The following is a 26,796-nucleotide window of genomic DNA, read 5'->3' as shown; positions in this document are numbered from 1 at the left end:
TGTGATCTTGCGGAAGACTTAAATTCTCTGCACCATAGTTTTCCCATCTGTAAAATGGGTATAATAATGGGACATATGCCCCATAAAATTGTCACAAGCAATAAAAGCATTAAAATACTTCAAACGCTTAGTACAGAACCTCATTCATAAAAAGTGCTATAGAAAGTTTGCTTCTTGGTTGTTTAGGTTTTGTTTCTGTCATTACTACTATTTGAAATCAAATACACACAGCTTCAGTCACCATTATGAGAAGTAGCCATCTTGAAGCGTGCATTTCTATGCAGTTTAGGATGTGCACCATAATGGAATAATCAGTGCCAATGGAACCGACACTCAGGGCATAGTGAGAAGAGCACTGAATGTCAAAAAAAACCTGCTTTTGGCCTCAGCTCTCTCTTATGTTGAGTGCAACCACATCTTTCTCAGGGGTAAAAGATTGGTGAATATCAGATATGCTACATTATTCACTTTATAGTAAAATAGGCATAATAAGGCAGCATCCCATTTCAGAGTCAGAATCACCCTGAAAATTTCCTCAAAGCCATCATTCACTTATTAATAGGGTACCTACTATCTGCCCAGACCTGCAAAGCCCTTGTGAAAGGTAGAAAGGCAAAAGATGAAAGGACAGTGAGATGCCACTATATTCCCATCAACCCGGCAAAAACTAGAAAGATGTATAATACCAAGTGCTGGTGATGATGTGGTGACAGAGGGGGCCCTCATGCACTGCTCATGGGGTCCAGCCATTCTGGAAAGCAAACTAGGAGAGGTTCCTAAAACTCTGCATTTTTATGACACCGTGGGAGGGAGTGATCCCTTAAATTGTACCTTTAAATTCATACCTTTAAATCTCTGACTTCAAAACGAGGCTTTTTGCACTATGCACCTTGCATGCTTCATCCTAGTCACAGCCCTGATTAGTATGTTCCTACCCTGTAACCTGGCAATCCCATTCCTGAATTTATATCTCAGAGAAGGAATCACAGAGACCTTTAAGAGACATATCCCACCCTTAAGAATTACACAAATCCTTGTCCATAAGGAATAAGGAAGCTCCTTGAGGCATTGTTGAATCAAGGAATTAGAGACAGAGTATATGTCTATCACCAAGGGATTCAATATATAAAGTGTGGCAAATGCATATTAAGGAATTATCTGTACCATTTAGAAACATCAAATAGATGTAAATATAGCAATGTGGATGGAGTTAAAACATGGCATTTAGAGAGAAGAAACCATAATAAACAAAACTTTTTAGCATACCATTTTAGATAAATTAACAATATTAACAAAACCATGCAACTTTGCATATTTTACAAGGATAGAAAGCATATTAAGGACATGCCAAACATATAAAAGCGAGTGCCTATGAGACATGATAGGAGTAGGAAATAGGGATACAGAGGCAAAAATAAAATAAGAGAAGGGCTTCCTGACGACCAAAGGCAATAATGGGCTGCTAACTGGCAGAAGGAGTAACGCAGCCCTCCACATCCAAGTACTGTCAACAATCCCATAAAGCAGGCATGAGCTATGGTAGATCCCTGCAACAGAAGGCAATGATACAAACATTTGCAAATCTGATTAATAACATGAAACAATATACAAGGAACAGCTGAGTTAGTTCTACAGACAAATGCTTTCCAAGTTAGGAGGAGGGAGTTTAGATCAGGGAGAGACAAAATCAGAATGGTATCCTAGAGTTAGTCCTTGAAGAACAAGTAGGATTTATACCGCTGATTAATTAGGTAAATAACCATGAGGCTAATGATAAGTCACCGACTGAGTTCCTAGTAAGCAACACAAAGCACTTTATATATACTGTATCATTTAAGCCTCCTAACAATATTGCAAGGTAGAGGTTGTTATTTTCATTTTACAGAGGAGAAAACTGAGGCTCGGGGATATGAATAGATAGCTTTCCACAGGTCTAACAGCTAGTAAGTGACAGAGGTGAGATTTGTACCTTTAAATCTCTGACTCCAAAGCCGGGCTTTGCACTATGCACACATATGCACAACATTCAGGAAGAACTGACAACAACATGAATCAAAGGCCAAAGGCTCAGCTTAAGGTACAGTGGACAGAAAACTTGGACTGCAGAGGAGGGGGATGTGAAAGGAAGGGAAGGGCCCAGAATGTCAGGCTATGGATTGATGGCTTGGTCTTCTCTAACAACACCTCCGTATTTTTTTAATCATAAACCTTTGTCAGTTTTCTGAAACTGAGTATGCCTTCCAATATAGCAGTTGTTTTCTACATGCATGAGTTTATTAATGATGCATTTTATAAAGTTACATGCATGAGTTATTAATGATGCATTTTATAAAGCACATACAAAAAGTAAACCTTTTAAAGAGACAAGACAGAAATCTAACTCAGAGTTCTGTTGTTTTCTTCTTGCACTCCAATGGATTGCCTTACAAATGCCGCCCCGGCTACATCCAGTTCAGATCCTTCCCTCTATGACTCACTGTCTTCTCTTCCTTTGGTTGCTGAGGGTGATCTCTGACATGCACATTAGCCTCAGCTGAAATCAGGAGTGAGGACTCAGGAAATCAGTTTCTTTGGCCTTCTCTGTCTGGTCCCGTCCTTCCCTCCTCCAGGGACCCCTCCTGGGTTGCAGCCCTGCCCCTGCTCAGCAAAGGCCTCCTGCAGATCCTGCAGCCTGGAAACACAGATGCACCAAACCCCTGCACACCGGAAGGGATGTCCCCAGAAATCAAAGCACGTCCTCCCCGTTGCCGTGGAAACTGGAAACAGGGGAAGACTGGTTGTTTTCCTCCAAGGACAACCCTGTAAACAGTAACCAAACACCCTGGCCAGTCTGGAAGCCTGTTTGCAAAGAGCATAGCCAACTCTTCATGGATAGGCGGTGGGAATCAGGGCCCATTAGTCCCTCTCATATCACATTTGCAACGCCTGGATTAGGTTTGATAATCCTGACACCGCCACATAGCAGGTGGATTTGTTTATAGAGTCATGTCCTGACCACAAGGGAATTTGAAACAGAGTAGCTCCCCACTGTTCTGGAGTCTGCCTAAAATATGCCTTCCAGGAGGCTGAGGGGTCACCAAATGCCCAGAACTGGGTTTGGCTTCCAATCACTTCACCCACTTCTGATTCATTGCCTCCTCCCACCAGCTCTAAGGCAGGCCTGGACCTCTGACTCCACTGAAGGTTCACGGGCAGCAGTCACTGAGTGACAGAGTTGAGCTAGCTTGAGGTTCAAGGTTAGGCCATGTTAGGCTACATTTCTGGCTTTGGCCCTTACTGGCTGTATGAGTCTGCTAGGGCTGCCATAAGAGACCATCACAAACTGTGTGACTTAAGGCAACAGAAATGTGTTCCCTTACAGCTCCATCTGAAATCAAGCTGTTAGTAGGACCACCTCCCTCCAAACCCTCTAGGAAGGATCCTTCCCTGCCTCTTCCAGTTTCTGGCAGCCCCAGGGAGGGATTCCTTGCTTGTGGCGGCATCACTCCAATCTTGGCCCCTGTCTTCATATGACTGTCTTCTCTGTCTCTGTGTCCAAGTCCAAATCTTTCTCTTTTTATAAGGACAGCAGTCATGTTGGACTTAGGGCCCACTGGACTCCATGTGACCTCATCTGAACTAGTTACATCTGCAACAACCCTATTTCCAAATAAGGTCACATTCTCAGGTACTGAGGAGGGAGTAGGGGTTAGGGTTTCAACATATCTTTTGTGGGGAGACAATTCCACCCATAGCACTATGTGTGACTTTGATGAAGTTGATTAACCTCTCTGAGCCACAGCTTTCTCAGCTGAAAGAGACAGAACTGTGACCCACTTCACATGGCTGCTGTGAAGCTCAGATGAGATTCACAGGGAAAGCTCCAACTCCTGGAAGATGTTCAGTACATATTAGTTCCTCTTTGTGTTCCCGTCATGCCTCCCCCACCCCTCCTCTTCCTACTTTGGGGAAACTTTGGACCCCTATTCAGATAACAACTGTTTGCCTGCTGAGCTATGGATCAGCCACAGGCATTATGCAATCAGAGCTAAAATTAGGAGAAGAGGCAGGAAATGTGTGGAGGAAATGACCTGGTTGTGAATCTGTGAATGGATGGGTCTGGTGTCCACGGCATTAAAAATCATAAGGTTCAGAGGACAATTTGGCAATATTCTAATTAAAAGTTAAAATGCCTATGCTCTTTGGACAGCAGTCTGCTTAAGGGTAGTTATCCTAACCATTTGGTCTCTGTGCCAAATGACACATGAAAGGCACGGTCATCACAACATTGTTATCAAAGCAATGGTTGGAAACAGCCTACACTTGATGGAATGAAATACGACGCAGTTAATAAAAAATGATAAAGGGGATATCACCACTGATCCCACAGAAATACAAACTACCATCATAGAATACTATAAACACCTCTATGCAAATAAACTAGAAATTCTAGAAAAAATGATAAATTCCTGGACACATACAGCCTCCCAAGACTAAACCAGGGAGAAGTTGAATCCCTAAATAGACCAATAACAAGTTCTGAAATTGAGGCAGTAATAGCCTACCAACCAGAAAAAGTCCAGGACCAGATGGATTCACGGCCAAATTCTACCAGAGGTACAAAGAGGAGCTGGTATCATTCCTTCTGAAACTATTCCAAACAATAGAAAAAGAGGGAATCTGCCCTAACGCATTTTATGAGGCCAGCGTCATCCTGATACCAAATCCCAGCAGAGACACAACAAAAAAAGAAAATTTCAGGCCAATATCCCTGATTAACATAAATGCGAAAATCCTCAATAAAATACTAGCAAACCAAATCCAGCAGCACATCAAAAAGCTTATCCCCCACGATTAAGTTGGCTTCATCCCTGGGATGCAAGGCTGGTTTAACATATGCAAATCAATAAACATAATTCATCACATAAACAGAACCAATGACTAAAACCACATGATTATCTCAATAGATGCAGAAAAGGCCTTCAACAAAATTCAACAGCCCTTCATGCTAAAAACTCTCAATAAACTAGGTATTGATGGAATGTATCTCAAAATAATAAGAGCTATTTATGACAGACCTACAGCCAATATCATACTGAATGGGCAAAAACTGGAAGCATTCCCTTTGAAAATTGACACAAGACAAGGATGCCGCCTCTCACCACTCCTATTCAACATAGTATTGGAAGTTCTGGCCAGGGCAATGAGGCAAGAGAAAGAAATAGAGAGTGTTCAATTAGGAAAAGAGGAAGTCAAATTGTCTCTGTTTGCAGATGACATGATTGTATATTTAGAAAACGCCATTGTCTCAGCCCAAAATCTCCTTAAGCTGGTAAGCAACTTCAGCAAAGTCTCAGGATACAAAATCAATGTGCAAAAATCACAAGCATTTCTATATACCAATAATAGACAGAGAGCCAAATCATGAGTGAACTCCCATTCACGATTGCTACGAAGAGAATAAAATACTTAGGAATACAACTTACAAGGGATGTGAAGGACCTCTTCAAGGAGAACTACAAACCACTGCTCAAGCAAATAAGAGAGGACACAAATGGAAAAACATTCCATGCTCATGGATAAGAAGAATCAATATCGTGAAAATGGCCATATTGCCCAAAGTAATTTATAGATTCAATGCTATCCCCATCAACCTACCATTGACTTTCTTCACAGAATTGGAAAAAACTACTTTAAATTTCATATGGAACCAAACAAGAGCCCACATAGCCAAGACAATCCTAAGCAAAAAGAACAAAGCTGGAGGCATCACACTACCTGACTTCAAACAATACTACAAGGCTATAGTAACAAAAACAGCATGGTACTGGTACCAAAAAAGATATATAGACCAAAGGAACAGCACAGAGGCCTCCGAAATAACACCACTCATCTACAACCATCTGATCTTTGACAAACCCAACAAAAGCAATGGGGAAAGGATTCCCTATTTAATAAATGGTGTTGGGAAAACTGGCTAGCCATATACAGAAAGCTGAAACTGGATCCCTTCCTTACACCTTATACAAAAATTAACTCAAAATGGATTAAAGACTTAAACATAAGACCTAAAACCATAAAAACCCTAGAAGAAAACCTAGGCAATATCATTCAGGACATAGGCATGGGCAAAGACTTCATGACTAAAACACCAAAAGCAATGGCAACAAAAGTCAAAATAGACAAATGGGATCTAATTAAACTAAAGAGCTTCTGCACAGCAAAAGAAACTACCATCAGAGTGAACAGGCAACCTACAGAATGGGAGAAAATTTTTTCAATCTATCCATCTGACAAAGGGCTAGTATCCAGAATCTACAAAGAACTTAAACAAATTCACAAGAAAAAAAACAAACAACCCCATCAAAAAGTGGGCAAAGGATATGAACAGACACTTCTCAAAAGAAGACATTTATGCAGCCAACAAATATATGAAAAAAAGCTCATCATCACTGGTCATTAGAAAGATGCAAATCAAAACTACAGTGAGATATCATCTCACGCCAGTTAGAATGGTGATCACTAAGAAGTAAGGAAGCAACAGATGCTGGAAAGGATGTGGAGAGATAGGAACGCTTTTACACTGTTGGTGGGAACATAAATTAGTTCAACCATTGTGGAAGACACTGTGGTGATTCCTCAAGGATCTAGAACTAGAAATACCATTTGACCCAGCAATCCCATTACTGGGTATATACCCAAAGGATCAATCATTCTACTCTAAAGACACATGCACACGTATGTTTATTGTGGCACTGTTCACAATAGCAAAGACTTGGAACCAACCCAAATGCCCATCAATTTTAGATTGGATAAAGAAAATGTGGCACATATACACCATGGATTACCATGCAGACTTAAAAAAGGATGAGTTCATGTCCTTTGCAGGGACATGGATGAAGCTGGAAACCATCATTCTCAGCAAACTAACACAAGAACAGAAAACCAAACACCACATGTTTTCACTCATAAGTGGGAGTTGAACAACGAGAACACATGGACACAGAGAGGGTACATCACACACCAGGGCCTGATGGGATGTAGGGGGCTAGGGGAGGGATAGCATTAGGAGAAATACCAAATGTAGATGACAGGTTGATGGGTACAGCAAACCACCATGGCACGTGTATACCTATGTAACAAACCTGCACATTCTACACATGTACCTCAGAACTTAAAGCATAATTAAAAAATAAAAATAATAAATACCACACAGTCCTTAAAAATAATGAAATATTTCTCTGTATGAAATGAAATTATCTCCAAGATATAATTTTAAGTAAAAAAAAACAAGGTTTGAGAAAGGAGGGAGTAACCAGTGGTGCACAGAGGATCTTAAGGTGGTGAAGCTACTCTGTATGATGCTATCATGTGGCTGCATGTATAGGCATTGGTCCAAACCCACAGAACGTACAGCAAACACCAAGAGTGAACTGTGATGTAAACTCTGGGATTTGGGTGATAGTGATGTGTGGGCTTGTCCATTGTAACAAATGGACCACTCTGGGACAGAATGCTGATAACAGAGGAGGCTGTTCATGTGTGAGGAAGGGGTGGATGGGAAATCCCTACATCTTCTGCTCCATTTTGTTGTGAATCTACAATTGCTATATTTTTAATTGTTCTATAAATTCTATTTTTAAAAAAGCAATGTTCAGAATAGTGTTCCAACTACCATGGTGGGGAGGAGAGAAAACATACGTGTATCTGTATACATGTCTACACACATATACACACGTATACATGTAATATATAAAGATATGTTAAAAATTAATAAGGGTTGCCTCAAAGAAATTGGCCAACTGGGGCTGAAGACAAAGGGAGACACACTTTTCATTGTATATCCCTCTGTGTTTTTTTTGTTTTTTTTGTTTTTTTTGTTTTTGAGACTGAGTCTTGCTGTGTTGTCGAGGCTAGAGTACAATGGCACGATCTCAGCTCACTGCAACCTCCGCCTCCTGGGTTCAAGCGATTCTTTTGCCTCCGCCTCCCGAGTTACAGAGATTACAGACACCTGCCCCCACACCCAGCTGATTTTTGTATTTTTACTAGAGATGGGGTTTCACCATATTGGCCAGCCTGGTCTCGAACTCCTGATCTCAAGTGATTTGCCTACGTCAGCCTCCCACCTCTGTGTCTTTTGAATTAGGTACTGTATCTACTGTAAATAAATCAAAACTTTTAATAATAAAAATAACAGGTTTCAAAGGCTTGTGACCAATTACGCTTCACCTAGACTCATGAGGAACCCCAGCGAGGGCTCCAACGTAGTGGAGAGGAGGAAGCACGTCAGGTAGCTGATGGCAGCGCGTAGCCTGGCAAAGATGTTTTCATTTAGAGACAAATGCTATCCACAGCTGGAAATATAAGAATCAGAATCTGACCTTCAAAAAGAGAGCATGGTGAAAACTACATACGTAGGCCAGCCATGTGAGCTGAAAGCAGAGATGGGGTTCTGAGTGGGAAGGGGGGAGATAGGGGAAAGGACCGGGGCCCATCTCACACTCAGGGCACACAGCTGGAGGGGTGCCTAGAGGAGATAGCTAAAGCTCCTTGGCACAGAGGCCCGCTCAGGCTCCACACCTCTGCACCTGCTGGGGAAGACAAGGCTGTAGAGGCAATCTCCTCCCTCTCCCCAATAAAGCCAGGAAAGAAAGAAAGGCATCCAGGAGCCAACAAGGCCCCACGACAGTGCACGCATGTCATGTCCTCTTCCTCCACCTCATCCAAGCTTACTCAGGGAGTGTCTTGTTCCCTTGGGTTCCTGCAAGGGGCCTGGCTAATTTAGTAAACTAATCAAGACACACGATCAGGCATTATTTCATAAGCATCTCATGGGGCCACATGGGATGTTTCCTCTTGAATCAACTTGACATTGCAATATTAATAGCTGTTAATTGTTTAATTTGTTCATCCTTCCCAGGGGCAATTGCATTTTAACTGGCACCTCAGACACTCAAAGGAATGTGTCTACAGGAAATTATTTCAGGACTGTGACAGCATGGTGGAAGACAGCTATTTGGGACTGGAGGCCTTCCCTGTACCCTCCAAATTCTGTGACAAAGGCAAGAACCAAATTAATCCACCTTTTATCCCAGGCCATCCCTGAAACACTGAGGACCACTTTAAGAGGGGGGAAAAAAAGCCACTTGGAGTGCAGGCTGCCAGCACTGCTCTATCATCTACAGCTAAACAGAAGGCCAGTGTCACCTGAATGGCTCAACAAAGCACAATTGACTTGGGGTCTGTCAATCAGACATATTCCACTGACATAATTTAGCTGCCACTATATGTCAGGTCTGTAAAGACATAATTGCTGGGTCCCGAGAGAATTGATGCTCAACACAAGGCATTACAAGTGGGCCCAAGAGTGTCCTTTTCTTCCCCTGACATGAAACTCCAAGAACTTCTCCAGTCTAACACACGCAAAAAATTCACTACTTTTCAGGGACAAAAGCCCTTACTTTGTGTTGCCACAGACAATGAAAAAATCAGCCTGTCTGGTCCACCCTCAGAGAAAAAGCCAGTCAGTGCAATTTACCATGACCACTGACCATTCAGTGGGACTTACCAACTCTCTTGGGGACTGCATTCTTTCAGTATGCAGGGTATGGAAACTCTATAAGCCTCTCGATTGCCCTGGTGCAATTACTGTATTGATTTGATGCAGCATTAGCTCCGTGTTTAAGGTAGTTTATGGTTTTTAATTTGCAATTAAGTCAAACGATCCCTGTTTGTTAAAATGGCTGACATTTGTTTATATTCTGCAGCAAGCAATGAAGGCAACTTCCATTTAGCCTCACAAACACATGGAGTAGGGAGCTTGACATTTAAGCAACTCAGTTCCTTGCCTGGCTCTTCACACTAGTAAAAAATAATTAAACTTATATCCATCTATTATTAAAAAGGTCCAAGTAATAATTGGTGCTTTTCAGTGATAAGCTAATGAAGCCACCAAGCAACATTGGGAGGATACTAACTAGAGGAGTAGCAAGAATAATTGATTTTGTCACTTCTTCCCTTCTGAATAATCGCCAAGCACTTGACCTACTCTATTTCTTTCCAACCTCTGATGTAGCTACACTGCATCTATTCTTTGTGGTGGTTGTTTTTTGGCATCATTTCTGTTGTTGCATTCTGTTTCAACATAAATCTCAGAATTCTTCTTTCTCTAAGAAGAGGCAAGATGGTAGCTCACAGGAGTTTGCGTCTCAGGAGTGCATCCCATAATCCCAGTGTCAGAGCAATATCAGCCATCACTGAGCATGTAGTGTTTCTGCACAAATGTTGTACCTCACGTGAGGACTCTCAAATATTCTCAGATAGTCCCATTTCCATGTCCCATTCTTAGCTCTTTCAACTCTGTGTACCCACCAACTTACCTCATGACAGTTGCAACATAAATACCAGCTGCAGAAAAGAATGCCTGTTTTTTGAACCATCCCAACATCTAACAACTTGGTAAAAGAGAATGAGCCTGCAACAGAGATAGAGGATAGAAGAGTAGAAGATCAGAGTGTCACAGAAGATAAAGGAAAAATGTGTTTCAAGAACATCAATGCTGCTAAAGAGGTAAAGGAAGAGGAGGACTGCATGGGAGGTAGGAAAGGGATGATTTCAGATACCAAGTGGCACTCAGGTGACCTCAGTTATAACCGTTTTGATAGAGTGATGGGGGCGGGAGCCAACATGGGGCATTTGGAGGAAGGAAGAGTTGTCACTGCAAGGCAGATGCTTCCCTGCTCTGCACACCTCAGTAACCAAGGCTGTGACTACGCAGGGAAGATTCATCAGTTTAAGAGCTTCCTCATAGCAGTATTCCAAGTCATGCCTTTAATTTGCCATTTACTAAACTACTAACCTTCTTTTTAAGAGATGAGGTCTTGCTATGCTGCCCAGGCTGCTCTCCAACTTCTGGGCTCAAGGGATTCTCCCACCTCAACCTCTCAAGTAGTTGGGATTACAGGCGTGAGCCACTGCACCTGGCTTAAACTACTAACTTAAACATTGATTTACACAAAAAACATTCAAATACTGAAGAGCCATAACTACCATATGGGTTTGCTATTAACTGCCTCCTCATTTTCCAGGTAATTCATGAAATCCAGCCAGAAGTAGCTCAGAGAGCAACTCCGGACTGACCTTTGTCTGGCTTTACTACTTCCTTTGTAGCCTGATGGCTTCATCATCCCTGCTCCATTTCCATGTCCTATTCCAGTCCAAGATCCTTGCTGATCCATGACAATCTATGTTAGACCAGCCACTTGCCCACATCAGAGCCAAACTAGAGTTCTGTCTGTACTGAGAGTTCTGTCTCTACACCTGTTTATACATAGCTCCAAGATCATGCAGAGATTTCAGTAACAGCAGGGTTTTGCTCTGTCGTGTCCCAGGCAAGTGTTGAAGCAACTAGAAATGAAAGTTCTGCAAACATGCTCCAGAGAAAACCTATGAATATGACCTACAGATACCATCTCCAGTTGTGATGGGTGAGTAGTTAAGATCTCCCTGGTTGTAGGGAGAAAAGAAACTTCAAGTGCTGATTGTCACCTGGAAGCCCCTCCTGCTACTACTCCACGACCTTTGAGATACTGGTTGGTAGGAGCTTTTTCAAGCAAGTTTTCCTGCCATAGTCTCCATTACTCTAGGGCATTGCAGATGAGACAAAGTTTTGTGGGGAACACATGACACAGGGATTATACAGAAAGAGAGCCCCCTGCAGTGATGTAATCCCCTCCTCTGGAAACTAAAATGGCCCTGTAAACTACGGGGAGGCATTAAGGGTATGGTTTTTGACATCAGGAGGCACTAAGGGTCATGAATACATCCTGTATCAATGACAAATTTAAGGGGATTGTGTAAATTCAATTGTTAATTAAACTATTCAAACTATTTGGGACTAGGAAAAACCAAGGCAACTGAATCAACAGGTATTTTCTAAACTCACTTTAATTTAAAAAAAAAAAATGATAGTGACACCCAACAGTCTCTTCCAGCTAAGTGACTATTCAGAAATAGTCAGGAAAGAAAAGATATACTATGTTATGGGTCAAATTATGTCACCCAAGAAAAAATATGTTGAAGTCTTAACCCCCAGTACCTAAAGACATAACCTTATTTGGAAGTGGCATCTTTGCAGCAGTCATCAAAATAAGGTCATTAGGGTGGTCCTAATCCAATAGGACTGGTGTGCTTACAAAAAGGGGAAATTTGAACAAAGACACAGACACACACACACAGGAAAAACAATGTGGAGACACAGGGAGAAGACAGCCATGTGCCTAGAGGAGGCACAAGCTGAGGAATACCAAGGATTGCCAGGAAATCCTTGAGGCTAGAAGGGGGAAGAATGAATTCTTCCGTGGTGCTGTCAGAGGGAGCACGGCCCTGCCAACACTTTGATCTCAGACTTCTGCCCCCAGAATGTGAGAAAATAAATTTATGTTATTTTAAGCCACCTAGTGTTTGGTACTCTTCTATGGCAGGGACACTAATACATTATCTCATTATATATATATGTATTAAGTGTAGGTTTATCCCAATTTCTAAAAATTAAGGTGTGAAAGAGATCTCCATTTTATGAACGAACCACCATGGCGGGCAGATCAACAAAGCTCCATTTGGCACAGCAGTGAGAATATAACAACAGAAGAAAGAGACAGAATAAAAAGAATCCTGAAGTAAAATTAGAAACAAAACACATAAGGCTCTATTACAATTTGCTTAAAATGTGTAAATTTTGTTCTGGGCTTCCCACTGGCCAATTTAAAGAAATTCAATCAGTTACACAAGACAACGTCCACATGGAGGGAGAAAAAATGGCTATCAGGAGAAGCAAAGCTATTTCTGAGAATGAATCCTGAAAGAAAGTTAACTAAGAGACTGGTCTGATTACTGAATTATATCTCTAGCAATATCAATTATCCCATACACACTGTTTAATTCTGAATCATATATGGCTCTGTCTTATAATGTCCTTCATTTTCAGCCAATGGACACACAGGATGGTAAAAGTTGGGATTTTTAAAGCTAAAATGATGTCATTGATTTCCAGCTGTCTATTGATGTGGCTTAATCCAGAGATAAAATCTAGAACGTTTTATGCAGGGAGTCCCAAAAACTAGTCCACAGACTAGATGCATCAGGATCACCTGCAGCTTACCTTTAAGAAGATACAGATGGCTGGATTTCAACCCTGGGGAATCTGATTGATTGGACAATTCCAAATGAATTCTAGATGAGAACCACTCATCTAGAGGATTATAAAGTGCCTCAACCAAGCCTTCTGATATGTAGGCAACATTTCTCTCAGTCCAGATTTTAATAACTTTTAGATAGAAGGTGAGACTCCAAGTCAATTATGGGTTCCCTCAATGTGACAGTGTAAACCCACCAAACTCATTGCTACGGTCTGAATGTGTCTGAAAATTCATATGTTGGAAGTTTGATCCTCAGTGAAGTGGCATTGGGAGGTGGGGCCTTTGGGGAGGTGAAATGACTGGTGCTGTTTGCTATGGTTTGGATGTGGTTTCTTTGTTCCCACCAAAGCTCATATTGAAATTTGACGCCCAGTGTAGTGGTGCTGGGAGATGAGGCCTACTGAGAGATGTTTGAGATGTGAGGACAAATCATGAATGGCTTAGGGAAGTTCTTGTGGTAGGAAGTGAGTTCTTACTCTTGTGAGAATAAATTAGTTCTTTTAGGAATAGTTGCTGAGAGAGCGGGTTGTTATAAAGCCAGGACGTCCCTCAGGTCTCCCTCTTCTTCACATGTGTTCGCTTCCCCTTTGACTTTCTCCACCATGTTATGATGCAGCACAAAAGCCCTCTCCAGAAACCAGGGCCATGCCCTTGAACTTCTCAGCCTGCAGAACCATGAATTAAATAAACCACCTTCCTTTATAAATTACCCAGACTCGGACGTTAATAGCAACATAAAACAGACTAAGCCACCATGACCAAAAAAAAAAAAGCTTGCTGGAGTGGATTCACTCTCTTCTTCTCTTCTGCTATGTGAGCACACAGCAAGAAGGCCCTCACAAGACACCAGAATCTTGATCTTGGACTTTCCATCCTCCAGAACTGTGGGGCAAAAATTTGTTTTTTATGTTACCCAATCTCAGGTAGTCTGTTGTAGCATCACAAAAGGACTAAGACACTTATCACCTCAAAAAGATTGTGTTATGGAGTGAAAGTGACTCATCACCCACACTTCCATGTGCCACGGGGGCTTGGTCTGAATTCCATCACCTCATTTATTAGCCACATGGTCCTTAGCTGGGTCAGGGACCTCTCTAGGTTTACTTGGCCTAGAGAAATGAAGATGACAAAGCCAGTTTCATCCATTTGTTGTAATAGTTAAATAAGAGTAGTGTGAAACTCTTAGCAAAATGCCTGAGTGGTGGAAACATCCAATAAAGGAAGCTTATTGTTGTTTATTATTCCTCTAGGAGATATCATTTTCTAAGACTGTGCCCCAAGATATCACCCTGCCTGGCTGAAATTGTCAAACTGCAAGATAAACCATTGAGATGCTCCACAGATCAAAACTGACCTCCAAGGTGCAAAGCTGTGACATAAACCCAGAAAGTGGGCCCTCCCTGGCTACCTCCAACCCTTGGTGAGGGTGTCTTCTACACAGCCCAGTTGGGAGATGGGAGGACAGGTGTGCAGAATGCCATGTGTAACTAAGCAGAGAGTGTTGTTACAGAAATGAGGAAGGCTGTGAGAGCAAACGACTCAAAACCCATAAAAATAAACCAGACTCCACATGCAGCACTTAAATGCAACAAGGACTCAGGAGGCCTCCTAGAGAATGGTTCATGTTATTTTTATTTAGTAAGGGTCTTTTAAATCCTTTATTGGTTAATTCTTCTATTGGCTGGATAGCTCCTTCTTGCAGGATCATAAAGCTAGGTGCAATCTTGAATGGATTATTTTAGGACCTTATTATTTGCCTCCAAACACTTTTTAATCTAAACCTGAGTGCCCAAGGTACCCAAGGTGTATATGCAGGGTAACTAATTTCTATGCCTTCCAAAACTGAGTCCACGGCAGGGTGTGGGGAAAGGGAAGCAGAGGGTGCCATTAAAACTCAGAGGTAGGGTGGTGGAGGGACTGCATAATTAGCAGTAAGCTCGATAAGCGACTCTAGGGAGGCAATGTAACTGCTGTCAATATCAGTTTCATCTCCGCCACATCTATTTAATGGTCTGTGATGCAGCATTTACAAAGGTCTATGGAGAGTTCATAACATAGGAAATGCTTATTTTACTCTGCCCTGTACATCAGTATAGAAATAATAGCTGCACTTGACTGAGCACAAACTCTCTCTCATTATATACACTCATTAAAGGATATGTATATGTATATGTATATGTATATGTATATGTATATGTATATGTATATGTATATGTATATGTATATGTATATATACACACACACACTCTCTCTCATGAAACTAACATCCTACAGGGTAGGTTTTATTTTCCTCACCTGAAAGATAGGGAAACAGACTCAGGAAAACCACTTGTCCAAGTTCATCCAGCTACTGTGTGGTAGAAACAGGTTTTAAATCCAACCCCAAAGCCTGCACTCTCATTTTTGCCAACTAGCTAGGGTCAACACAAAAGATTCAAAGGAAGTAGACTAATGTGATTGTATCTTGATCCTGGGAGTTTGGGCATTTTTAAAAACAGTTTTGCATTTTTCCAGAAGGACCCCAAAATTTCTGTCATGAGAAAGAACATTAAACCTGGTTTTGTGTATTCCCTTCCCATATGAGATTCCAGCAAACACAGGAGCCCTCAAATGGACCTAGCAGTGGGCCTTGCTTCCTGCCTGCCATCTCTGAGTCTGTGTCACTGCTCTGTGGCCTGCTGAGAACTGCTCTGCTCACCACACAAGATGGGATTTGACTTGTGCAAACTTTTATTTCTTCTATAGCTGTTCCTTAACCCCAGCCAGGGACCCCCGCTGCCCCACAGCTCCTTAGAGACTGTATCAGTTTCCTGTAGCTGCTATAACAAAGTACCACAAGCTGGGTATCTTAAAAAAACAGAAATACATTCTTTTTCAGGCCAGGCTCAGTGGCTCACACCTGTAATCCCAGTACTTTAGGAGGCTGAAGCAGGTAGATCACCTGAGATCAGGAGTTCAAGACCAGGCTGGCCAACATGGCAAAACCTCGTCTCTACTAAAAGATATAAAAATTAGCCAGGCATAATAGTGGGTGCCTGTAATCCCAGCTACTCAGGAGGCAGAGGCAGGGAGAATTGCTTGAAGCCGGGAGGCAGAGGTTGCAGCAAGCTGAGATGGTACCACTGCACTCCAGCCTGGGCAACAGAGCTAGATGCTGTCTCAAAACAAAAACAAAAAAAATTATCCTTTTTCAGAGCTCTGGAGGCCAGAAGTCCAAAAGTACAAAGTTTTGGCAGAGCCAGGCACCCTCCAGTGACCCTGGGGAAAATTCATTCCTTGCCTCAATCCAGGTTCTGATTCCAGGCATTGCTTGACTTCACTCCAAGCTCCGCCTTTGACTTCACATAGTCTTCTTAATTTTGTCTCTTCTTCTGTATCTTGTAAAGACATTTGTCATTGAAGTACAAGTGCCTACTTGGATAATCCAGAATGAGTTCATCTCAAGGTCCTTAATTCTAATACATCTGTAGAGACGCTTTTTCCAAATAAGATCACATTTGCATGTTCTAGGGATTAGGTGGTGAACACAGTTTTGTGGGAGCCACCGTTTAACCACTATGGAAACCATCCCTCTTGCTAGCCCAGGGCTTATAACAAGAGACAATGGGATGGATGCTGTATTTACACCTTATGATGTCAGTTTCAGGATCATGTGTTGAACTCTCCACATCACCACAGCAGAAGAAAACTCTGCTGCCAGACAGAAAAGGGAGAAATTTGTAAGCTCTTCTCTATCTCCTCCCTAACCAAGCACCATCTCTTGCATAGCAAGCAATGATTGACTCTAACATGAAACACTGTCCCTTTAAGTTCCTGAGGCCCAAATTCTTGAAATCTCTTTTTAATTTTATGGTAACCATTAGGGGCTTTGTCGAGGAAGGATGACAGGAGTAATCACCCGAAAACAGATTTCTAGGTAATTTATACTTAGTCAATCCAAACCTAATTCCTGGGTGACCTATACTGTGCCTAAGGAGGCTGACATAATCATGTATTTACCCTTTACCCTGAAATTAGATGGTACTTACTATGCAATTACTCAGCCACTAAGTGACAATTACCATGTAATTAAATGGTCAGTGGTTACCATATTATTAAATAGCATTGACATGATACTCATTCCACAGAACCTTGTACAGTGGTCACGGACTTAAACTCCCCACCAAAAAAATTACAGCCATTCCCGGGAAGATCTGTTCTTTGCTTGGGTGGCTTTCTAGCTAGCAAAAATCCCAGTGCCACATGCCTCAGAGGGAGCCTGGAAGTAGTGAACATTGAGCTCAGACATAACATGATCTCTTAGGCACAGGCTTCTCATTAGACCAGAAGAGCACCTCTGTAGCCCAGCTCCAGTCCAAAGCTAGGCTATCTGGCCAAATTCCACCATCCTTCTCCAAGAACATGGTGCAAAGGAGTAGAAGACATCATATTCATTCTCTCCTGGATGTGATACCTACCCAGAGGCAAAAGATGCTGGGAGAGCTTGGAGCCCTGAGTAAAGCAAAGCCCTTGGGATGAGTGATTCCACCTGAGAGGAATAGTCACCAAATCTTTAATACAAACATAAGCTGCCTCCTTTGTTCCATAAGGACAGGACCTTTATCTGCCTTGTTTACTGCCTTATCACCAATACCACTCCTGGCACATTGTAGATGCTCAGTATTAGTTGAATGAATTGAATTGATTATTATGCATCTACTACATGCCAGGCACTCTGAATTGAAACATTTTAAGGACATTGTGAGGTCCTCATGGAGTCTCAGAAAGGCTGAATCACTTGCCCAAGATTGTAAGACAATCAGGGTGTGGCAGGTGCAAGACTAAACGCTTGACACCCCAACCTCAACCATCCTGGAGTGGATTTCTGGATTCAACATGGCGGCCCTCACAGCAAGGTTACGACGCACCATAAAGATGAAGGGGTGGGTCACACGTTCCATAGGCTGCTCACATTTACAGACTGTCTGACTTTTAGAGAAATATTTCTGGACTACAATGCAGAAAAAGAAGGCCAGGGACTGGATTTAAGCAGTGGTATAGTGCTAACTTCATTGTACAAATCATCCTGTATGCCAGCCTCCCAAAAAATCTGCGGCACCAGATCCCACCTCCAGGCAATGAATGGGAGCATTCTAATGTCACCAGCTGGATAGGCTCAGAGAAGTTTCAGCTACTGATGACTGAGGAATACATCTTGGAAAGACTGCCGCTGTTCTGCAGCTCTTCATTAAGTATTAATGTATCAAAACCAAAATAACCTACTCCCCCAGAACAGTTTCTCCCGAAATACCTTCTTGTGTTCGGTAACCCTAGTACACTTCCCCAAGTGCTCAGTAATCCTAGTACTCCTTCCAAGTAGCACTTCCCTCAGGTGCTTCTGGGTCAGAATCCTTTGGGGGCCCCTTTCCCCAGCATGCATATTGGCATGTCAACAATGTGGAATAATCCACCATCACAAATCCTTTGACCCAGGCCTTGCATGAAACTTTTTGTGCACTTACAGCTATTTAAAAAAAAAAAAAAAAAAGAGTCTCGCTCTGTCACCAGACTGCAGTGCAATGGCACAATCTTGGCTCACTGCAACCTCCACCTCCCAGGTTCAAGCAATTCTCCTGTGTCAGCCTCCCAAGTAACTGGGACTACAGGCGCATGCCACCACACCCAGCTAATTTTTGTATTTTTAGTAGAGCCGGGGTTTCACCATATTGGCCAAGATGGTCTTGATCCCTTGACCTTTTGATCTGCCTGCCTCAGCCTCCCAAAGTGCTGGGATTACAGGCATGAGCCACCGAGCCCAGCCACAGCTCTTTTTCACATGGGTCAGAGTTTCAGTCCGTCAGCTTCAGTGGAGTTTTTTTTTACTATTTGTAGGAGTATTTATCTAGGGTGTTACCAAGCCAGCTGACTATCTTGAGATTTCTGGATCTCCTGTGATCCCAGTTTGTCTTGGCTGTAGGAATCTACAAAGAGAGCGACCCTTTACCTAAAAACTACATGTGAAAAATCAACTCCTAGTCTTACATTTACAGTCCTGTATACCATTGTCTTCTGCTGGTCCTGATGTAGTCCCACTGTTTCCAGAAGTCTTTTTTAAGCATTATATTTCTAAAAAATATTTTGAGACAGAGTCTCGCTCTGCTGCGAAGCTGGAGTGAAGTGGCACGATCTCAGCTCACTGCAACCTCCACCTCCTAGGTTCAAGTGATTCTCCTGCCTCAGCCTCCTGAGTAGCTGGGATTACAGGTAGGTGCCACCACGCCCAGCTAATTTTTGTTTGTTTTTTTTTAAAGTAAAGACGGGATTTCACCATGTTGGCCAGGATGGTCTCGATCTCTTGATCCACCTGCCTTGACCTCCCAAAGTGCTGGGATTACAGGCGTGAGCCACCGTGTCTGGCCCTAGAAAATATTTTTATAGATGAAGAATCAGGCTAACCTAGTGAATATGATCTTGCAATTTCCATGATCACCCACTTAAAGATCAAAACATGCGCTGTGTGCTTTTCATAGTTGTTAGTGCTATGAAGGCAAAAATGCCTTCTATGTTAATTCCTATTTTACTAGGCACCAATGAATTCATGCTGTGTGCTGGAAATCAACTAAATCAGTATCCTGTTCTTAGAGCACATTAAATGTGTCTATGCACATTTGCTGAAAATCCTTTCAGTATAAACCAGTTTAAGTTTTCTGTAGGGTAGGTAAGAATTCTAACTTCCTCTTCCTGTCAAAATTCTCTCCTGCTGAGATGGTGTTCCACTGGTTGAGCTCTGCATGAGGAGGAAGTTGTAAACAGCTTTACTGGTCATCTGTCTGCTTTATGTGTGATAGACTATTACTTACCAGAAAATATGCATATCGCATCTCTAGAAAAAAAGAAAAAACAGTCATTCAATTTCAAGGTGTACTTTTTATTTAAGTAAAAATAATTTGTACTGACTTTTCACTTGTCTATTCTAGTTTCAAAGGATAAGCTACAAGCAATGTGTTTTTTTCTTTACTGCTATGTTGATTGAACGCTTTTGTACTATGACTAAAATGTGAGGTATTTTGCAAGAACCATTAAAAAAAGGACTTTGGAAAGCTGATGGCTTTCCCAGGGTGAATCACTCTGGGGTCTAAGATTTATTTACATAAAGGAACCATAATAGTTTATGTAAAGTGTTATTCACACTTATTAAAGAAAATGAGGCTCAGAGAGATTAAGAGACTAGTCCAAAGTCACACATCTGGTAAATTACTGAGTTGAACTTGAACTCAGAAGCCATTTGTCTGCTTAGTATAACAAGAAAGACAGATCACCTGCCTCAGTCCTTCACATTTTCACCATTAAAATGTTATGTTTGGAGATCAGCATTGTTTCTAAATGTTGATGGTAAAATGTAATGTCTCACTAGCACTCTTTAATACCCTAAATCAAATTACCTAGCCTCCAAAAACAGATTCAGAGTAAAAAATGAGACCAGAGAGGATAAAGTTTGAGGTTGTATAGATGAACACAGTTTTCATCTTAAAGTCAATTCTGATCAGTTGATAGTGGCTTCCTGGAACATTATATTGTGAAGCCTTCTGGGGTTACATCAGGGCTCAGCAGTATAAAGGATCATGATCGACTAGTGATGTCTGCCATGGACACTGTTGAGGGAGTAGCAGCATATGAGTCAGGTATTTACCATCTCTGATAGGGATTGTGGGATTCCACAAAATAAGGTCAGGCTTGGAAATTGTTAGGGCTGGGAAGAAGACAGTGAGGCTGGAAAACCAGCTAATAAAGTAAGCAGCCAAAGACATTATTTTCCTCAAGTTCATATGCTTGAAGGAGAAAGTGAAAAATAAGGTCTTAGTAAAATGCAAACTACAAGTTAGGAAAGCTTGCTTCTAGTTTCAGCTCTGCAGTTAATTATCTTTACATTGTTAATTGACCTCATCATTTCCCCTTTCTAGGTCTTGGTTTCCTCATCTGTAAAATGAAGATATTTGAATAGCAAATCCCCAAACTACTTCCACAACAAGGATTCCACAAGTCTATGGTGCTTGTTACTGAACTAAGTAAAGAAAAGGGAAAATTATGGGCAGGAGAAGTGAGTAAAATCTGGTCACACTCTTTTCAATTTTCTATTGGAGGAGTATGAGATACCGAAGTAGAAATCAATACTTTCGTTTTGACTGTGAGTCTTAGACATGAATTCAACATTCAAGTAGAAATGACATAAGTCTAGAGCTCAAGGGAGAACCCTGGGTAGACAAAATAAACTTGGGGGTCATCAGTAAATAGATGGGACTGGATAAGGCCTCCTGGGGAGAGAATGTAACTAGAAAAGAAAAGAGGGCCAAGGGGTGTTTCATCATTTAGAATTTAGACAGAAAGGGAGTGTTCACTGAGGCAAGGAGAGAACCATGTGACTGTCATGGAAGCACAGGAAAGAAAGGATTTCAAGGGATGAGTCGTCAGCTCAGCCCAAAGCTGAGAAACTGAGTCACATGGGGAAAGAGAATTAGCTTTGGTAAGTTATAGCATTTGTGACCTTGATTTTTTAAAAAATGGTTCACAGGAGTGACAGGGACAAAACCTGATCAGAGTGAGAAGAGGAGATACTGGGAGGTGAGGAGGTGGGGAAAGCCATGACCCACAGCCTATTGTTGGCTTATAATGTTTTTGTGAGAATCTATGTAAAGGGTCTATCATTGCGCTTGATACACCAGGCGCTCAAAAATACAAATTTCTGTCCCTAAAGGGGATTTAAATCCACTTGCATTTAATCTGTCTGCCATTTTCCACAGAGATGGGTTTCTGACAACCTGTCAGATTCTGGTATTAAAGGTCTTTTATCTTGACCTTGGCCCTGGGGGAGCACTGATAGAGCTGTAAGGCTGGCCTGTCATCCTTTCACCTCCCATAGTCCTATTGAATAAATATCTCATCAGGCAGGCCACTGCTAAGGTCAGAATGACGCCTCATTCCAGGAAAGGAAATTGATCATGTGCAAACAACTCCTAAGAAATCCTGCCAGGGAGGGTATGTGAGAGGCCCATAAATAATGCAATGAGGACTGTCATCCTCAGCCCTGAATTCTACTGACCCTCCAATAGGAACTGTGTAGTCAATATCCTAGTGCCACCAAACAAGTGTGGTTACTGATCACTTATGCATCTTGCCCTCCTACAGCAGAGACACTAGGCTATCCATGATAACTGAGCCTCACACTGGTCAATTCATCCATAAATTTGTTCAACATGTATTTCCAAGCACCCATCTGCAGAGCACATTTCTCCACATTGTAGGATATGCAATGAAGTCTATGACATTGATGCAAAATGTATAAACAAATACCCATTGAGCATCTGCTAAGTGCCAGGGCTCTAGGCTCCAGGGTTCAGCAGTGAACAAGACAAGCCAAATTCCGAGCCCTTGTGGAGCTTACATCCTAGTGGCTATGGGCTCTGAGCTCAGTAATCTTATAAATCAGGTCAGGGAAAGCAAAACACCTAATGTGAAGAATGAAATACCATAGACCAGATGAAATAGTTAAATGTCCACCTGTCAGTTCAAGTGCCAGGGGCATTAGGGCCCATTCTAGGCACAAACCCAAAGGAGCAAAAGTCTCAAGGTGGACATGAATAAGACTGTCCAAAACATGGAGTTCCATAGACTGAGGAATGATTATGGAGGACCTTCAAATCAGCCTAGAGAGTTTAGGCTTTGTTTGTGGGAACTCATGAAGGGACTCTAAGCATGGTAAGGACATGACAAAAGCAGGGCATGAGGAAAATCTTGAGCTACCATGTGCAGAACAGACAAGGGAAGATGAAAGGAAAAGGTACCTGCGTCCTGAATCCCAACTCTAGGCCAGGTGCCTTACCTATAGGACCTTGATTTTTCTTCTCCTTAAATTTTTAAATACTATTTGGAAATATCACAAACTTATAAAAAAGTTGCAAGTAGAGTTTTTTTCTTGAACCACTTGAGAACAAGTTGCAAATTGGAGTCCCCGTCACCTCCAAATTCTCTTGTGTTGAATTTTCTATACAAAAGGACATTCTCCCACATCAATGTAATAAAATTATCAAAATCAGGAGCTTAACACTGATCATTAGCACCACTTGGTCTTCTCCCCAAATTCAAGTTTCATCAGTGTCCCAACAATATCCTTTAGAGTAAAATGGTCCAGTTCAGAATCAGGCATTGTGTTTAGCTCCCATGCCTCTTTAGAATCCTTCATGACACTGGAACAGTTTCTCAGTCTTTACGGAATCTCATCTGAATCATTCAACAACCTTACTATGTGGATGCTGTTATTATCCCAATGTACAGAAAAAGAAACTAAGGTTCTAAGAGGTTCAGTAATGAGCCAAGGTGCCCCAGTGGCTGAGCTCCAAAGCATGTGTGGTTCAGAAACCCAGCATCTGACATGAACAGGTGAGCATTTAGGACTCATTCCAGTGATGGCAGTGTGAGAAGGAAAAGGAACCAGTCCAAGGACGTGGCAATAGAAATGCAGAGAGGAGGCCAGGCATGGTGGCTCACGCCTGTAATCCCAGCACTTTGAGAGGCCGAGGTGGGCAGATCACGAGGTCAGGAGATCGAGACCATCCTGGATAACACGGTGAAACCTCGTCTCTACTAAAAATACAAAAAAATTAGCCGGGCATGGTGGTGGGCGCCTTTAGTCCCAGCTACTCAGGAGACTGAGGCAGGAGAATGGCATGAACCTGGGAGGCAGAGCTTGCAGTGGGCTGAGATCATGCCACTGCACTCCAGCCTGGGTGACACAGTGAGACCCCATCTCAAAAAAAAAAAAAAAATGGAGAGAGGAAAGTGGATGTGAGGGACCACACCAAGGAGCCAACCAGTGACTAGCTTTTTTGATTGACTCCCACAGCAAAGGTTAAAAGATGACTGAGGTTTTGAGCTTAGGCAGCTGTTGAGGATTGGATGAGTGGGAATGACAGGAAGTAAACTCTTGTCTAGGCTGCAGACATTTCCGCTTGATGGGAGGTTTCAATGAGCTATTGGAATGGAACCTCTACATGGGGAGTGGACCACTATAGGAAGATCTTCATCTCAGAAGCAAGGAGAACCTCATATTGAAAGCTGAGGGCATCCCCCAGGACTGTAATGCCATTTCATCTGCTTTCTGCAGATGAATCTTTTTGAAAATGTCATCTGCAGGTAATTTCTTTTAAAAATGCAATTACCATTTGGAGGGGTAATTTATTAAATCTGTGTAAACTTATTTTAAATTAGTTTAAATCATCAGTTGCCTACACAATAAGAACTTTAAAACATTGTGAGAGCTTTAGTCACCGGGGAGATTGTGGAGAAAGGACCCTGAAACTGAGAGGAAAGTTTTACAAGGAAGAAAGAGGCACCAAATAAAGACACCAACTTCTCAGAGTGGCCAAGCCAGAGAAGCAAGCAATACCAATGGAAGCTCTACTATGTGCCTGGCATAGTAATCCAGGCTTTTTGCTGTCAGTGTCTCATCTGCCAACCCTCATGTCAGTGGTACTGTTCACACTTCAGAGATGAAGAAAACAGGGCTCAAAAAGGTCAAACACATTGTCCAAGCTCTTCTTCCCAACATGGTTGTGATGGAGCTAAGATTCAAACCCAGGGCTCTTCAATCCCAAAGCCCAGGCTGTCTACCAGGCTACCTGCCTTCAAGACCCCTGGAGATTCAGCACTATTGGGTAGATTAAGTTTATGGCTGAATTTGACCACAAGAGGCCAGAAGGGTTCAACTGTGGCTTGTAGTTCTACTTGGAAAAGGGCCTGGCTGGTGTGACAGAAGCATTGGCAGAGCAGATAGATGGGCCATAAACAGCTTGCTGGTCTCAGGCCATCTCTCTTCTTCCCCTCTAAGAGCTTGTAGATTGGACTGGAGCAAGCGGCAGAAACTTCCCACTTCTCCTCACACATACATTGAATGGGTAAGGTGGTTCTGCACATCACACAGGTGCTGGAAGAAATGAAGACATGCACTCAGAGGTAGCAGAACCCAAGGGCAAATCGTATCAGCCATATGGGCTTACTTCTTCATGAGACCTGCTGAGCCCAAACCCAAGGATGTGCTGGATCAAAGAGCCACCTATGTGTTAATTCAATGACAGGCAATCTCACCTAGAGATCTAAGTTATTTCAGTGATCACTTGCCTTTGGACAACACTTACCTCCCTCTGCCCCAAGTCACCACACCCTCTTCTTTATCAGGCCAGCTTCCCTCTGAGGGCCCAAGACATTGTGGATCATCATCAGGCATGATGGAGTACAATAGAAAAGACAGACAGACTTTGGTTCTAAAATCCCTAGTGGGTCACCTTGGACTTTATTCTTCATTTCTAAAATGCAGTAACAGTAAACACACTAGCATACAGTTTCATTTTAATAATTAAATGAGATACCATCTACTAAGTATTTAGTACAGGTCCTAGCCCTAAGGAAGTGCTCAATTAGCTAATCTCAAAAAAAAATAAAAATAAAAATAAACAGCTCCGGACTTGGACAAGGGCAGACTTTATTTGAAAGGATCATTTCAAGAGAAGGGTATGAGACTTGCAATAGGGGGTACAAGGACTGCTGAAAAAAAAGGGGTGGAGGGGAATGCTCCAACCATGAGATCCGCAAATGCCTCAAGGGTTAGGAAGAAAGGGGCTTTTCCTTTTAAGGAGGAGTCAACAAGGTTAGGAAGAAGCTGGTGTGGGGAAGTAGGATGGAAAAGAGGCACAGATGGAGGTATTCTGATCTGACAGTAGATCAGACACAAAAAGGGAAAGAGGAGTTCTTTAATCTTTGCTATTTTCTAGGACCACAGGGCTGGGGTGAAATTCAGCCTCACTACAGTGAAAGCTTGTTTAATCTCCGTAAGCCTCTGTTTCTTCCTCTGTAAAATGGGGGTAGTAATAGCTACTTCCCAGGACTGCTGTGCAGATTAAATGAGACAAGATATGCTAAGTGCTGACCAGGGCTCCTGGACACAGTGAAACTAAATATTGTTGCTTTTTTTAATGTTGCATATCTACCATGTATCAAGCATTGTGCTCAGCATTGTAACAAAAAATATTTTGAGAAGATTTTGGGATGCTGAAGCAGGAAAGGCCTGGGACAGGTGCGGTGGCTCACAGATAGCTTCTATACCTTCCTTACTGCCCTTTTCTAGGGAATGAGAGAGACACAAGTTTGATGATCTCCATTGACCCTGGACTTCACAATTCTAAATCACAGGCTGTCTGAAATGAACATAGCATGGTATCCAGGAGATTTCCCCCAAGCAGCAATTTCATTAGTCTTCCCAGATGCAGAATACTGGCACTGTACTGATTCTGCTCTCTCACCTGGGCTGGGTGCACGCTGAGTCCACCTTTTCTACAGATGGTGATGGCTGAGCAGGGCCATGCTCTCCATGTGAACCCAGCTTAGGATCAGTGACCTCAGACACCCCCTCTGAAGCCCTCAGTCAGCTAGATGTCTCCTTCTGGGACCAGGCAGAACTTGCCCTGTGAGTGGTGGTATAAATATAGTTCCCTCTGGGCAGCCAGCCTGAGCCGCGCCAACTGACTTTCCATTACCACCTGCACTTCACATGCTACGTGGTTTCACTACTCAGAGCTGCTCAGCCACTCGG

This window comes from Homo sapiens, chromosome 15, assembly GCF_000001405.40.
Source record: "Homo sapiens chromosome 15, GRCh38.p14 Primary Assembly".
Lineage (NCBI taxonomy): Eukaryota > Metazoa > Chordata > Mammalia > Primates > Hominidae > Homo > Homo sapiens.
The sequence above is the reverse complement of the archived record's forward strand: the minus strand, read 5'-3'. Positions refer to the sequence as shown.